This window comes from Homo sapiens, chromosome 6, assembly GCF_000001405.40.
Source record: "Homo sapiens chromosome 6, GRCh38.p14 Primary Assembly".
NCBI lineage: Eukaryota > Metazoa > Chordata > Mammalia > Primates > Hominidae > Homo > Homo sapiens.
In genome coordinates, this window is record NC_000006.12 from 114,350,968 (window position 1) to 114,363,658 (window position 12,691).

General features: G+C 37.3%; 1 long non-coding RNA gene across 2 annotated transcripts in view, besides 2 other annotated features; it reads left to right on the plus strand.

Moving 5' to 3' along the window:
• LOC107986638 (uncharacterized) overlaps nucleotides 1-12,691 on the plus strand; it is a 131,875-nt gene that overhangs the window by 8,643 nt on the left and 110,541 nt on the right. The gene's annotated exons all lie outside the window — the stretch shown is intronic.
• Nucleotides 11,240-11,831: an enhancer, noted in NCBI's record as "NANOG-H3K27ac hESC enhancer chr6:114683371-114683962 (GRCh37/hg19 assembly coordinates)". NCBI's record gives its function as "activates a minimal SCP1, AML or CMV promoter by ChIP-STARR-seq in primed H9 embryonic stem cells {active_cell/tissue: H9 hESC(primed)}" and the evidence as "EXISTENCE:reporter gene assay evidence [ECO:0000049][PMID:30033119]".
• Nucleotides 11,832-12,421: an enhancer, noted in NCBI's record as "OCT4-NANOG hESC enhancer chr6:114683963-114684552 (GRCh37/hg19 assembly coordinates)". NCBI's record gives its function as "activates a minimal SCP1, AML or CMV promoter by ChIP-STARR-seq in primed H9 embryonic stem cells {active_cell/tissue: H9 hESC(primed)}" and the evidence as "EXISTENCE:reporter gene assay evidence [ECO:0000049][PMID:30033119]".

Below are 12,691 nucleotides of genomic sequence, written 5' to 3' on the forward strand. Positions count from 1 at the left end.
GCCCTACAACCACAGAAACAGAATTCATCCAACAATCCAAATTAGTTTGGAACAGATTTACCTGTAGAGCTTCCAGAAAAGAATGATACCCCATGTACACATTGATTTTGGCCTTAGGAGTCTCTAATAAGCAGAGGGTTCAGCTGAGCCACTCGATATGGGACTTCTGGTCTACAGAACTGTCAGATAGCAAATGTGATAAAGGGGTGTTTCAAGCCACTAAATTTGAGGTAATTTTTTATGGCAGCAATGGAAAATTCATATATGTACAAATCTTGAGACCTAGTATGTATTTTACATGTATGGCACATCTCAATTTGTACTAACCACATTTCAAGTATTCAGCAGTCACGCATGTGGCTAGTGGCTACAGTATTGGACAGTGCAAATGTAGACTAACAGGAGTCAAGATGTCTAGGAAGTGCTAGGTTTGTAGCCTAAACATAATGTCACCATGTGGAAAGAGAAGATGATCAAGGAACGGGGGGACTTGGCAAGTTCTTTTTTGATTCCCCTTCCTGTAATCTGTGAATTGGATAATCTTGCTCATACAGAAAACAGGCTAAATTTTACAAACTTTCTAGATTGTCTAAGTTCATTAGACTCTGAAATTTCTGTTTAATTGCCTTCTGGCTATTGAAAAAGTATTTTTTGAATATTTCATTTTTATCTCAGTTAAATTTTGGAGCAATCAAGACAAGAGTTGTTGCTCACACCTGAATTTATGCTTGAGATGGAGCATTAGTTATTTAGTTCTAGCATTATGGGGTCAGGGCAAGGTAGGCAAGGGTAGCCATGGAAGATCTCCAGGAGTAGAATTATGCAGATTGATTTAGCTTTCCTAGGAAGGCTGTTACTCCTCACCAGAGAGTTGGCCTTTCAATATCAACCTTCTGAGGTCTAGGTTTCATTTTTATTAAGAAGGGCAGCATGTTTTATCATTCTAATTACATTCCATGTTTAGCCTTCTAAAACCATCTTTTACCATCTCCCCTAATAGATGAAAATATATGTTTATCCTGCAAAATTTAGAGCAACAACTAATCATTGTAATCTAGAACCATAGTAGGAAGGTTTCACCAAAGAGCTATAAAATTAGACTGGGTTTAAAGGAAAAAAATGGAACCTAGACCAGGAGAGAGCAGACGGAGGTCTTTCCAGGGTTCGAGGAGCAGTGAAGGTAACAGTGGAAGAGAGGAAAGTGAATGGTGGGTTGATTGTTTGATGAAAAGTTTCTTTTGACTAAAGCAAAAAGCTTTTGTAAGGAAAGCTATAGTTGGTGCTGGAGAAGGAAAGGTCAGAACACTCTAGATATGCACTATCCAGTACAGTGACCCCTAACCCCATGTAGCTATGAAACACTAGAAATGTGGTTAGTCTGATTTGAGATATGCTGTAAGTATAAAATACACACTGGATTTAAAAGACTCAGTACAAAAATATTATAAAACATTTCACTAATAATTTTATATTGTTAAAATGATAATATTTTGGATACATTGGGTTAAATAAAATATATTATTAAAATTATTTTTACCTTTTAAAAAGCTTTTTTAATATGGCTCCTAGAAGATTTTAAATTACATATGTGGCTTGTATTATGTTTCTGTTGAACATCATTGCTCTAAACCAAGTGCTTCTCATACTTTAAAGTATATAAGGAATCATCTGGTAATCTTGTTGAAATGCACATTCAGAAACTCCCGGGTAAACTGCTCCTGCAATTCAGTCTTTGGACTACACACTATCTTGCCTGCAATATGTAACTATTCAGGAACTTTTAAAGTCACAGTGACCAGATTGCTGCACCCCAAATCCATTACTTAAGAATCTCTAGAGCTCTGACATGAGTATCAATATTTGTTATAACTCTCTAGGTTAGTTAAACATCTAGCAAATTTGAGGATCCCTGCTTTAGAAGCTCTTGAATAGAAGTGAACTAATTTAAAGTTTATTTTATAGAAAATGGGGAAGTTCATATATCAGGAGCAATTAATTTGTCACTAGTGAATATTCATTGATTCATTAAGTGAGTTATTACTCTATGTCAGTCATGGTGATTTATATCACCCTGCCTTCTGGAAGCTAAGAAGCTAGTCAAGATATAAGATAAATAACTGCAAAGCAATATGGGATAGGTTCAGCATGAGTGGTGTAGATATTAAGGGTTATAGGACTGAAGAAAAGGCAGAGTCAATTTTGGGTGGAATAATTATTCTTGGAAGAGCTGATATATAAGACCTAATACTGTGGTTCTCAAACTTTAGGTTGCATCACAATCATCTAAAGTAACCAGGTCGAGAAAACTGTTGTCACAGAACACTGCTAATGTCACCCCACCACACTGTGAATGCATTTTAACCATTCTTACATCTCTGTTCTAATATTAATAACTCAAAATTCAAAGTGCCCAGTGGGAGGCTGATTGGCTAAGCCCAGACCACATGCTCAAGCCCGGTCTGGCCAAGAGCCATTGGCAATGCACTTCTCACTCAAACGAAAATAGGAGTGAAGTACAATACTGCTAGGCTTGCTCCCTAACCCCTCACTCCACCCTCACCAAAAAAAAAAAAATCCCCAAACTCAAACAAAACCAAAAACAAACAGATAAACAAAATGTCTACTGCAGGTAGTACAATTCCAAAAATAGGCATGCATCAGGGGAGACTTGATTATGGACAAAAAGTCAAATTAAATTTTAGGTTGTTAAGTTTGAGATTACAATGTTTAACTTAAGCAGAGATGTCCAGTTAGTTAGTTTTGAGAAAGAAGTAAAGGCCAGAGAAGGTAGCTTAGGCATCACCTCTTTAGAGGTAAAAATAGAGAACAAATGTGAGCATGAGGAAGCAGAATGTAGAGGGAGGAACCGAGGACTGAGAGTCTGATAATATCTTCATACTTCTGGGACTCTAGGAGTAGTACAAAGGGATGCTGTATTAGATGTTAGCAGGTATTAAACCCCAAACCTATTCAGGTTAGAAGAGTTAAATAGGAATTTCTGTTGTGGTACTTCTCAGAGCTATTAATATACTAACTTGCATTATAATGCTTTAATAATGCTGCGTTTCCAAATATTATTTGGCTAGGAACTCTCTTAAAGAATTAGCAATATATTTGAAGACATTTTGGAAAACAGTGGGCTAGAATTTTCTGGAACCAGTAAAAGAAAGAGACTTAGAAAAGTATTTAGGGGGAGAAATAGTAGTACCAGGATTGAGACTATTCAGATAATTCAAACTCCTATTACTCCATTAAAATAGAAAATGAGTTTAATAGTATGGGATTAATAGTATTAAATTCTGTTTTACATATATGTCTCCCAAATGCACAGCACTTGGCAAATGGAGTTGCACCATATATATTTAAGTGAATAAATAATAATAATAAAGAGCGAGGAAAGTCCTTTAATTTTCTGTATGAAGATCACAAGAAGTCCTTAGCAAATAAGTGTCTCCTTCAACTCACCTCCAACCAGCTTCAGAATTCTGGTGGGGTGGGTTGGATGACACATCTGTTTGCTAAGGATTTCTTGAGTGATTTCTCAAGAACCCCTAGCAGAGAGAATTGCCACCCTATCATCTGTTTCTCTCTTTTTTCTTGGAAACATAACAAGGGTGACCATATAATTTATCATCCAAACTGGGACACTTGAGAGAGAAAAAGGGGGAGCTATTAATAATTATGCCAGGTCAACACATACAGAACAGACTCCCAGGCAAACTGGGACAAATGGTCATCCTAAATATAACTCCTGATGTTTAGCTGTGTGCGTGACTATTAGGAATAAAGTCTGCACTGTTCGATCTCTCTTGTATTTTCAGGGGGCCAAGTACCAGATCACAGTAGTTAGTTCCCCTCTTCCCCAAAGTTTACAGAGATTCTCAGCTCATGTCTTGACCAAAGCTAGTTCTTACCAATCAAGGAAGACGGTAGAAGATGGTTGTAGAAGGCCTCACAGAGATAGAGTCTTAATGGGTTCCTTTCTTCTTCCTACTGTCCGGCATGTGGTTTTTCTGGTTAGAGGTTTAGCAGCAATCTTGGATCACAAGGCAGTGTGCTTAAGATGGTGGAACAGAAAGATTAAAGAAGCCTGAGCCTCTGATGATCATAAGCCCTTTTAGTCCAGTCTACCTTTGGCTTATTGTGTGAGGAATCAATAAGTATTTATATTTAGTAATCATTGTGGGTCATTTTATCGTTTTCTGTTACTCCTCATTGAACCTAATCTGGGTAGATAAGACCTTATAACAGTGCTGTCAAAAACCATAATGTGGGTCACAAATGTGAACCATATGTGTAATTTAAAATTTTCTAGTCATTTTAAAAAACAAAAAAAGTGAAATTAATTTAAACAGTGTATTTTATTTAAACTATTGTAGCCAAAATATTATCTTTTCAACCTGTAATCAACATGAAAAATATTAATGTGATAGTTACATGGTTGTTTCATGCTAAGCCTTCACAATTCTATGTGCATTTTGTGCTCACAGCACATCTCAGTTTAGACTAACCACATTGCAAGTGCTCAACAGCCACATGTGGTTACTGGCTATCATATTGGACAGCACAATTTTAAACCACAAATACCTCCTTTCACCCACCCACTCATGTATTTTCTATCTCTCTCTCTTCTTGTTTCTCTTCAACAGGTAAACATAGATAAAACTCTATATCTTACACAACAACAACAAAATAACAACAATAAACCCCTTCTCATTCTTCCTCAAAGATATTTTTCTAGTGTTTTTCTTTCCTTCACATCTCTATTTAATTGAGTTTGCAGTAGCAGGTAACTCTGGTCTTAGGCTAATGGCAGAACAGGGTCCTTTAGGATGCCACTTGATAAACTGGTGCCTGGGTGATGTGAAACCATCAGGAATCATATTTTTAGGATGATCTTCTAGCAAATTAAAGCCTATGTATTAGAAGTTTTTAATACCAGGACCGAAACTCACTATGTTTTGCTATGAGTTGCCACAAATAATTGGTCTATTTATCGATCTACCTCCTCTATCTATAATGATTTAAGAAAATCACTTCGAGAATCAGGTTACCCCTCTGGTGATGCTAATTTCCTTTACTTCGAGATATATGGTGAAGAGTGACCAAAAGGGAATTGTTGGAGCTGGCACTTGGAAGTTGAGCCTAACCTTCATACCTCCTGGGAGGAGTTGTGAATGTATACATCAATTACCATGTGTGCGACAATGGAGAAGTGATTTCTGGCAGCTAGGCTTTATGGAGTACAGCATAACTTCAGTTATCTGGAGTCTAGTGTTCAAGCACCAGGAATGGTGTCAGTTACAAAAGGAAGAATAACGTGCATCTTGTAAAAAACGAAATAAGCCATGAGCTTTGAGTATTTTGTACATGATTAAGAGGAACCAAAAATATGAAAATTATGGTGGATGAGCCGGGATTGATTAATTCTCCAACAAGAGGGAAGAAATCTTCTGGTTTAATAGAGATTTACAAAATACGTCAGTCTTTTCATATAGATGTAGCCAAGAAGCTCAGATGACATGATAGGGACCCAACAAAATAAGAAATAAAAAAAGCAGAGAGAAGAGGAAAGCAAGCAAAGGAGATTATATATGGAACAAAAGTGGTGGTGACAAAGACAGAAGTAGTAGCAAAAGAGCCCAAGAAATATCATCAGCTCTGTGGAAGCAGAAAGAATGAGGCAGACATGAAGTGCAGAGACATTATCAGCAACCCAGTGGATGTTTGGGTACAACATCCCACAATTACATCTTCACAGGCACAATATTTCTGGGAAAAACTACTTATGCCAACTAGAGTTGTTTGTTTGTTTGATGCTTTACTTACTCATTTGCAGTTATCTGATTTCTACCAGAGGTTTGCACTCTCTTTGGCCTATGTGCTCTCAGTGACCAAAGCCTAGGTGCTATGGGTGATGCTGTCAAACCTAAGACCTGAAACACAGAACATGGGCCAAGAAAAATAAAGTAAGAAGAACAAGAAAGAAAAAGACCATTATGAACACTTTGGTTATCCAGACGTCATTTATCTAGCCCCCTTAACAATATATCCTCCAGCTAAGAACAAGGAATAGCAAAAGACACATCTGAAAATCTAGATAGATGATGCCAAGACTACATGGTATTTTTCATTGCAATTTACTTATTGAAAACTCTCCAGGTCCCAGAAGTGTGGCCTCACTTTCCCTTTACTTAACCACGCCAGAAACCGTCACTCCCTATGGGCGTTCCTGAAGAGCCATGGTTATTGCTGCAGAAACATCAACTCTAGGTGCTACTACTAAGCCCGCGTCAATGTGCAGCTTTAAAACCATTTGTCATTCTTTCCTTTTATTGTTGCTGAGAATGTTTTATTCTTACTTTTAAACAAGTCTAACAAACATAGTTAGTATTTTCTAAGTCAGTTGCAGATTAGGACAGTAAAAGAGGGCATTAGATAAATGATAGCCAAAGAGGTGGCAGGCAATATTGAGGGTGGGGCAGAAAAATTATAAAAGCCCTAAACTTCATCTCAAACCACAAAGCCCATTCAATGTCAGAGTTAGTGTATGTGGTATGTGTTGTGGCAGGAAAAGAATAGACTTTGAAATAAGACAGGTCCAGACTCAAGTTATAGCTCTTCTGCTGGTAGCTGTGTGACCTTGGGCAGGTATTTAAGTTATCTGAGCCTCAGTTTTCTCATTTCTAAAATGGAGATAGTAATATTACCTTCCTTATTCAGTTGTGAAGATTAAATCTGTGTAAACCAACATGGGTGTTGCAAATAGTTCCTTCTCTCCTAAAAATGAATAGGTTTTCAGGTTATCAGTGACTTTTATAACTTCAGGTAGTACTTACTAAACTCATACTGGAATGTGGACACCATGCAAAGCACTGGGACATGGAATTAAATGAACGACAGTCTGTATCATCAAGGAACTTAGAGTTATTTGGGAAGAAAGATTGTAAAACATAAGTTAGACTGTAGGTTAAGGTGAAACAATAGAAGTAGGTTCCAGTAATTGAGGCAGTATGTACTAATGGCAGCATGGGGTGGGTGTCAAAAATTTGAGGGAGAGCATCATGTGTTTATAGTGAAGATAATCCTGAACCATCAGGAAATGTAAATTGTGTTGATAAACTATGTCTAAAGAGGCAGAATATAAGTAAATCTTGGATTTAAAATATACCATTTAAAATGATGAAATCTAAAAAAATTAACTTCCATGGTTTACTTTGGCAAAAAAATCCATTAATTTCTAATGGAACACCTTATTTATTGATATGTCAAATAAATGAGACATTGCTAAAATGGCAGATGAGAAAGGCAGAAAAGAGGAAATAAGACTATGGAGAAAGGAAGGGGAAAGGAACAGAAATGTTATGGTGCGACCAGAATTGCTCATAAAATCAGTCTTTTGTCAGTGTGGCTTCCTTGCTGTTTCTTTTCATCTTCACAGCTGCCCTGTCTGATTGGTAAAACATGTATTATTCTCTGTATAATTGATGATGAAGTGAAAAATGCAAGGGGCTATTGCTTGTCCAAAGTCACACATTTACCAAGACATGCATCCAGAAAGTAGAACTCAAGTTCTCTGCTTGAGGCACAAAAAATGTAAGGAAAAAAAGTCACCCTCAGTAGTTCTAAAGAATTTCATCTAAAGAAATAAAGTTTAAAACCAGGAAGCAAATATCCAAGAAGTGTATGGCACAAGCATATTCTACATATAAAAGAAGTGCTAAGCATAATTGCTTTGCCATAACTTCTCTTTTTTCCCATGTTTTCCTTTCTCACCTCCTTCCTCCTTCAAATAGATGAAGGCAAGAGAGAAATGCCAGAAAGGAAGAGAATAGGAGGGAGAAAATAGAAGGTTATGGGAAAAGAGAAGGGAAAACAATAGGAGATAAATGTGTAGGGAAGTCTTACTCGTGAACATGTAATATGTTTCTGGTAGATTTAAAATTTGTAAATAAGAACATATTTATTTTTATACCACATATGAAAATCCTTGTTTTGAAGTTTCTCCCCAAAACAATTGAGGTCTGGGAAGGGGTAAATGTGTCAAGAGATGTGTATGCTGTCTTGGCCACATTTAATTCAAGGATTGCCCCACGAATCAAGGGCTGTAAATTTGTACCATTTACATTTTTATTACTCTAAGCAATCTCTGCAAAATGAAAAAGAACATAATTTTAAAAGTTGGTGTTTATTATCATTTTTATATGTAGTCCCATAATGAATAGGCTGTTTGGACAGAATCAAAAGCCTTCCCTGAGGTCCCCGAGCTGGCATAGCCCCGTAGACTGGTACTCTCTATTACTCAAGGGCATCAACTGGCCAGTACACTTCTTCTTCTCCAAGTCACTGTAAATTACCACCCAAAGCCTGATGCTGATATAGGGATGTAAAAAAGACCAATGCTGATCATGTTCCCTGGGCACTTCTCAGGAAAGAAAAGCTCATCTGGAGCCCACCCTGCTGAAGCAGGTGGGTGAGATTCTAACACCAGCATCATCCTTTACTGTGACCCAGCAGGCACTCCACCAATTGGCAGGCCAGTTTCTCCTCTGCTTGGGCATAATCAGAGGGCACATCTCACAGGACATTGTGAATGTTCATGGAAAGTACTTAATAGAGGTATTGGCTCATGGTAAGTTCTCAAAACAAGCTGTCTTTCTTCTTTTCAAAAATTAACACTAATTTATCAAGTTTTGGTTTCTCTGACCTTAAATGATCATGTTTAAAATATGAAAACTAGGCTTCAGTCGAAACCAGCTGTTCATGGTTTCCTATTGTTCAACACAAAAATTTCCCTCCTTTAAAGAAGTGACAAAAATCTGGTGGTGTTTGAAATGTCTGCATTAAAAGTTTTATGTGGCTGGATATTTGTGGGCTTCTTCTATCCACTTGGGAAGGATTGCTCCATGAATCAAGGGCTGTAAATTTGTACCATTTACATTTTTATTTCTCTAAGCAATCTCTGCAAAATGAAAAAGAACATAATTTTAAAAGTTGGTGTTTATTATTATTTTTATATGTAGTCCCATAAATGTGAACACTTTAAAACCTCATTCATTTGGAATAATGAAAGAAAAATGTGAGAAATCTGCCTGAGAAAATATTTGGGAACAAGTGGAGTTTTAGTAATGTCAAGGAAAGTTAGTATTATTAACTAAGATATAAATGGATTTTAATAAGTAATAAAGCTAAGTTTGTAAAAACTACACTTCACAAAATCCCTGGTTTTATACTATATCCTAAGAATAAGCTACTTTGATAACATAATAAATTTAATTACTAGAACCAAAAATAAATGACTCTTTTTTAAAAAACTGGATTTGCCTACTTTACAAATAAGACTCTAAAGAACTATCTGAAGAAAAAGTAACATTTCTTAATTACATATAGTTTAGTTGGTTATCTTCACATGAGATCAGTGAAGTGTGGATTAATGGAGTTTTATTGCATAGTGCAAGTTAAAGCAATATACGAATAAAATAACCCAATTATTTTTTCTCATATCATAGCTTCCAAACACCTAGGGCTTGGGGCTCATTTATCTTTAGTTGTATATGGACAAAACTCTGTCAAAGGAATGCCAGGGATGTGGAGTTTTTAACTCTTTCCATGGAAACAACACTGAAGAGAAGAAACCAGGGAAGCCGGAGGTCACAGCAACGTCCTTCTCAGGGGGTGCAAGCGTGATTTCAGTGTCTGGGCTCTGGAGTCAGACTGCCTAAATTCAAGCTCTACTTCCCCTGGCAAACTCAGTGACAATGGGGAAGCTACTTCAGGTTCCTTCTCTGTAAAATGGGATGATCGTGGAATCTCACAAGGTTCCTGAAAGAGTAACATTTCAAACAGTGCCTGACACACTGTGAGCGCTCAGTCATTTCTGCTGTCTCTATAGCTGACCTGATATTAAAGGATATTTGTCCACCTTTAACCTCATGGCAACAAGAAAATCAAGCCCTAACTTAGATTATCAATTTACCTGCACTTTACCATGTCATTTCATAGTTTTGTGTATTATAATATTAAAATATCTCACCAAGAAGGTGACTTTTAAAAGTCATTCTTTTCTGATTCTGATCTTTCTTGCTCATCTATTTACTTCTAATTTGTCTATTTGTATATTACCAGCCTTGCTCCAACTAGAATATAAATTCCAACAGATTGGGAACAATGTCATTCTTACATTCTTATATGGCATAGTTTGCGTTAGAACAGTGTTTGGAAGACAGTAAGCATTCAGCAATTATGTTAACTCAGTGAATGGAATTCTCAGGAATTCACAGGAAGCTCCCTGTGTCCTAAGCAAGACCACCTCTTAATCTCCTCAATTCTTAATTTCCATCCAGAATTATTCCACCCAGAGCCCAGAAGAGTGTAATGACTTTAATTCCTCCCCAGGAAAGCAGTATAGCTGACTACTTCTTTCAGCACTGCCTTGCATAACCATTATTTCTGTACTAAGATTTGTTTTGCCTCCCTTTTCCCAATTTTCTTTTTCTTACCTCATATTAACATCTTTGACAAAATTCTCTTATTCAATTCACATAACAACCTGGGCAAGTATTATTACATCTTTTTTTTCCCTAACGGACAAAGTTGAGGCTCAGAGAGGCCAAGCAACTCACAAGTGATAAAGATTTGAACCGAGATCTGTCAATATTGAGATCATGAATTTGTTTATTGCCTGGAGATAGTGTCTTACCAATTATTGTGATCACAAATTTTCCACAATAGCCATTGATGTGTTGACCAAATTATTCCCAAACTTACTTGGGGATTCCTGAGTCCCCTTAGACTTGCAGAATAAAAGTCTGGAGTATAGCTCAAGAATTTTCTTTCTCCCTTTCTTTTCTTTCTTTCTTTCCTTTCTTTCTTTTTCTTTCTTTCTTTCTTTCTGCCTGTCTTTCTTTCTCTTCCTTCCTTCCTTCCTTTCTTTCTTTCTTTTCTTTCCTTCCTTCCTTCTTTCTTTCCTTCTTTCTTTCTTTTCTTTCTTTCTTTCTCCTTCCTTCCTTCCTTCCTTCCTTCCTTCCTTCCTTCCTTCCTTCCTTCCTACCTTCCCTCCTTCCTTCCTTCTCAGAGTCTTGCTCTGTCACCCAGGCTGGAGTACAGTGGCACAATCTCGGCTCACTGCAACCTCTACCTCCTGGGTTCAAGCAATTCTAATGCCTCAGTCTCCCTAGTAGCTGGGATTACAGGTGCCCACCACTAGACACAGCTGATTTCTGTATTTTTAGTAGAGACAGGGTTTCTTTATGTAGGTCAGGCTGGTCTCGAGCTCCTGACCTCAGGTGATTCACCTGCCTCAGCCTCCCGAAGTGCTGGGATTACAGGTGTGAGCCACCGCAACCAGCCCCAAGAATTTGCATTTTTAAGGAGCTGTCTAGATTATTCTAAAGGCAGCCAGTTTTAGGTCTCATTGACTTAGAGAAGAAGAAGCAGGTAGGGGAATGTTAAATTGAGTACGTGTTATCTTTGGAAAGGTCTTTTAAATGTCAGCTGAGATTAGTTTATCTGGTTAGGTTGGTGACTGAGACGTGGAAATATGGGATTGGAGACCCTCAAGTTTCCTCAAGGAGAAAGAAGCATCTGCAGTTTTCTAGGGGAAAAGCCACAAAGCACGAGATGGGGCCTGAGCTTTGGTGAGGGCTTCCCAAGGGGAGCGCTGACAGTACAAAAGCATTCTTTCAATGTTATGAGGTTCTCCAGTAAAGCCCCACTAGATATTTGAGCTTTGTAAACTGTCTCTTCAAGTTTCTTAAAATCTTTACATAAGTTATTCAACATGTTTTGAATCATTAAGAAATCTAGGTAAAGTGGGTGAAAAGGGCATTTTGTAGAAGTATAAAATAATCTAGGCTGTCGGAGATGGCTTTATAAGCGCGTCTAAACTATTCCCAAACTACTGAGAAGTCTGTTTTATGATAAAATCATGATGTAATGAAGAGAAACAACACATTCAGAGTGCTTTTCCTATTGAAAAAGCTAAAATTTTGACAAATTCAGATACCCTAATAGTAAGATGCTGGTTCTGCCACACCTCTTTTTAGCACTGAGTCCTATCTAATAAAAGAGATAAATGGCCTCCTGGGGCTTAGAGACCATGGAAAGTCACATCTGGTAGCTTGCACCTGGCTGACCTATTCACAGAAAAGGCCAATGTAGTGCAAAAGGGCATTTTTTTTTTTTTTAATTTAAATCAGCTCTGCTGGAGGGAATTGAGCAGCGGTCAGGGGAGGTTTTCATCCTTTCATACCATTCCACTCACTGAGTTGGTTCCTTCAACTATGGCTGGGAGGGCCATGACTCTGCATTTGATACCGCTATAGCAAGCTACCCTTAGCCTTTTTGTCACTAGTGCAAAATTGGAAATTCAATTATTTCTATATTTTCTGAATTGATTCATGATCCAAATAAAAACTCAATCACTTTATTTTATTACAACTTGTTTTAGGACTGGGTTCCATTGCCTTTACAAATATTCTAATATTGTGTTTTGTATTTCATATTCATTTTATTTGGTAAGTTGAGCTTTCTTCAACAACTGGTTGTCATGAAAAAATTTTCTTTTTTTGCTGTTTTCAAATTTGAAACTTTTCCTAGAAAAGTTCTAGGTTCTAGGAAAACCATTTGGCAGAGAGGCAAGTTGGAGTCAGGTTATAAAGAATACCATTTTTGATCTCAGTACTGTGATGCT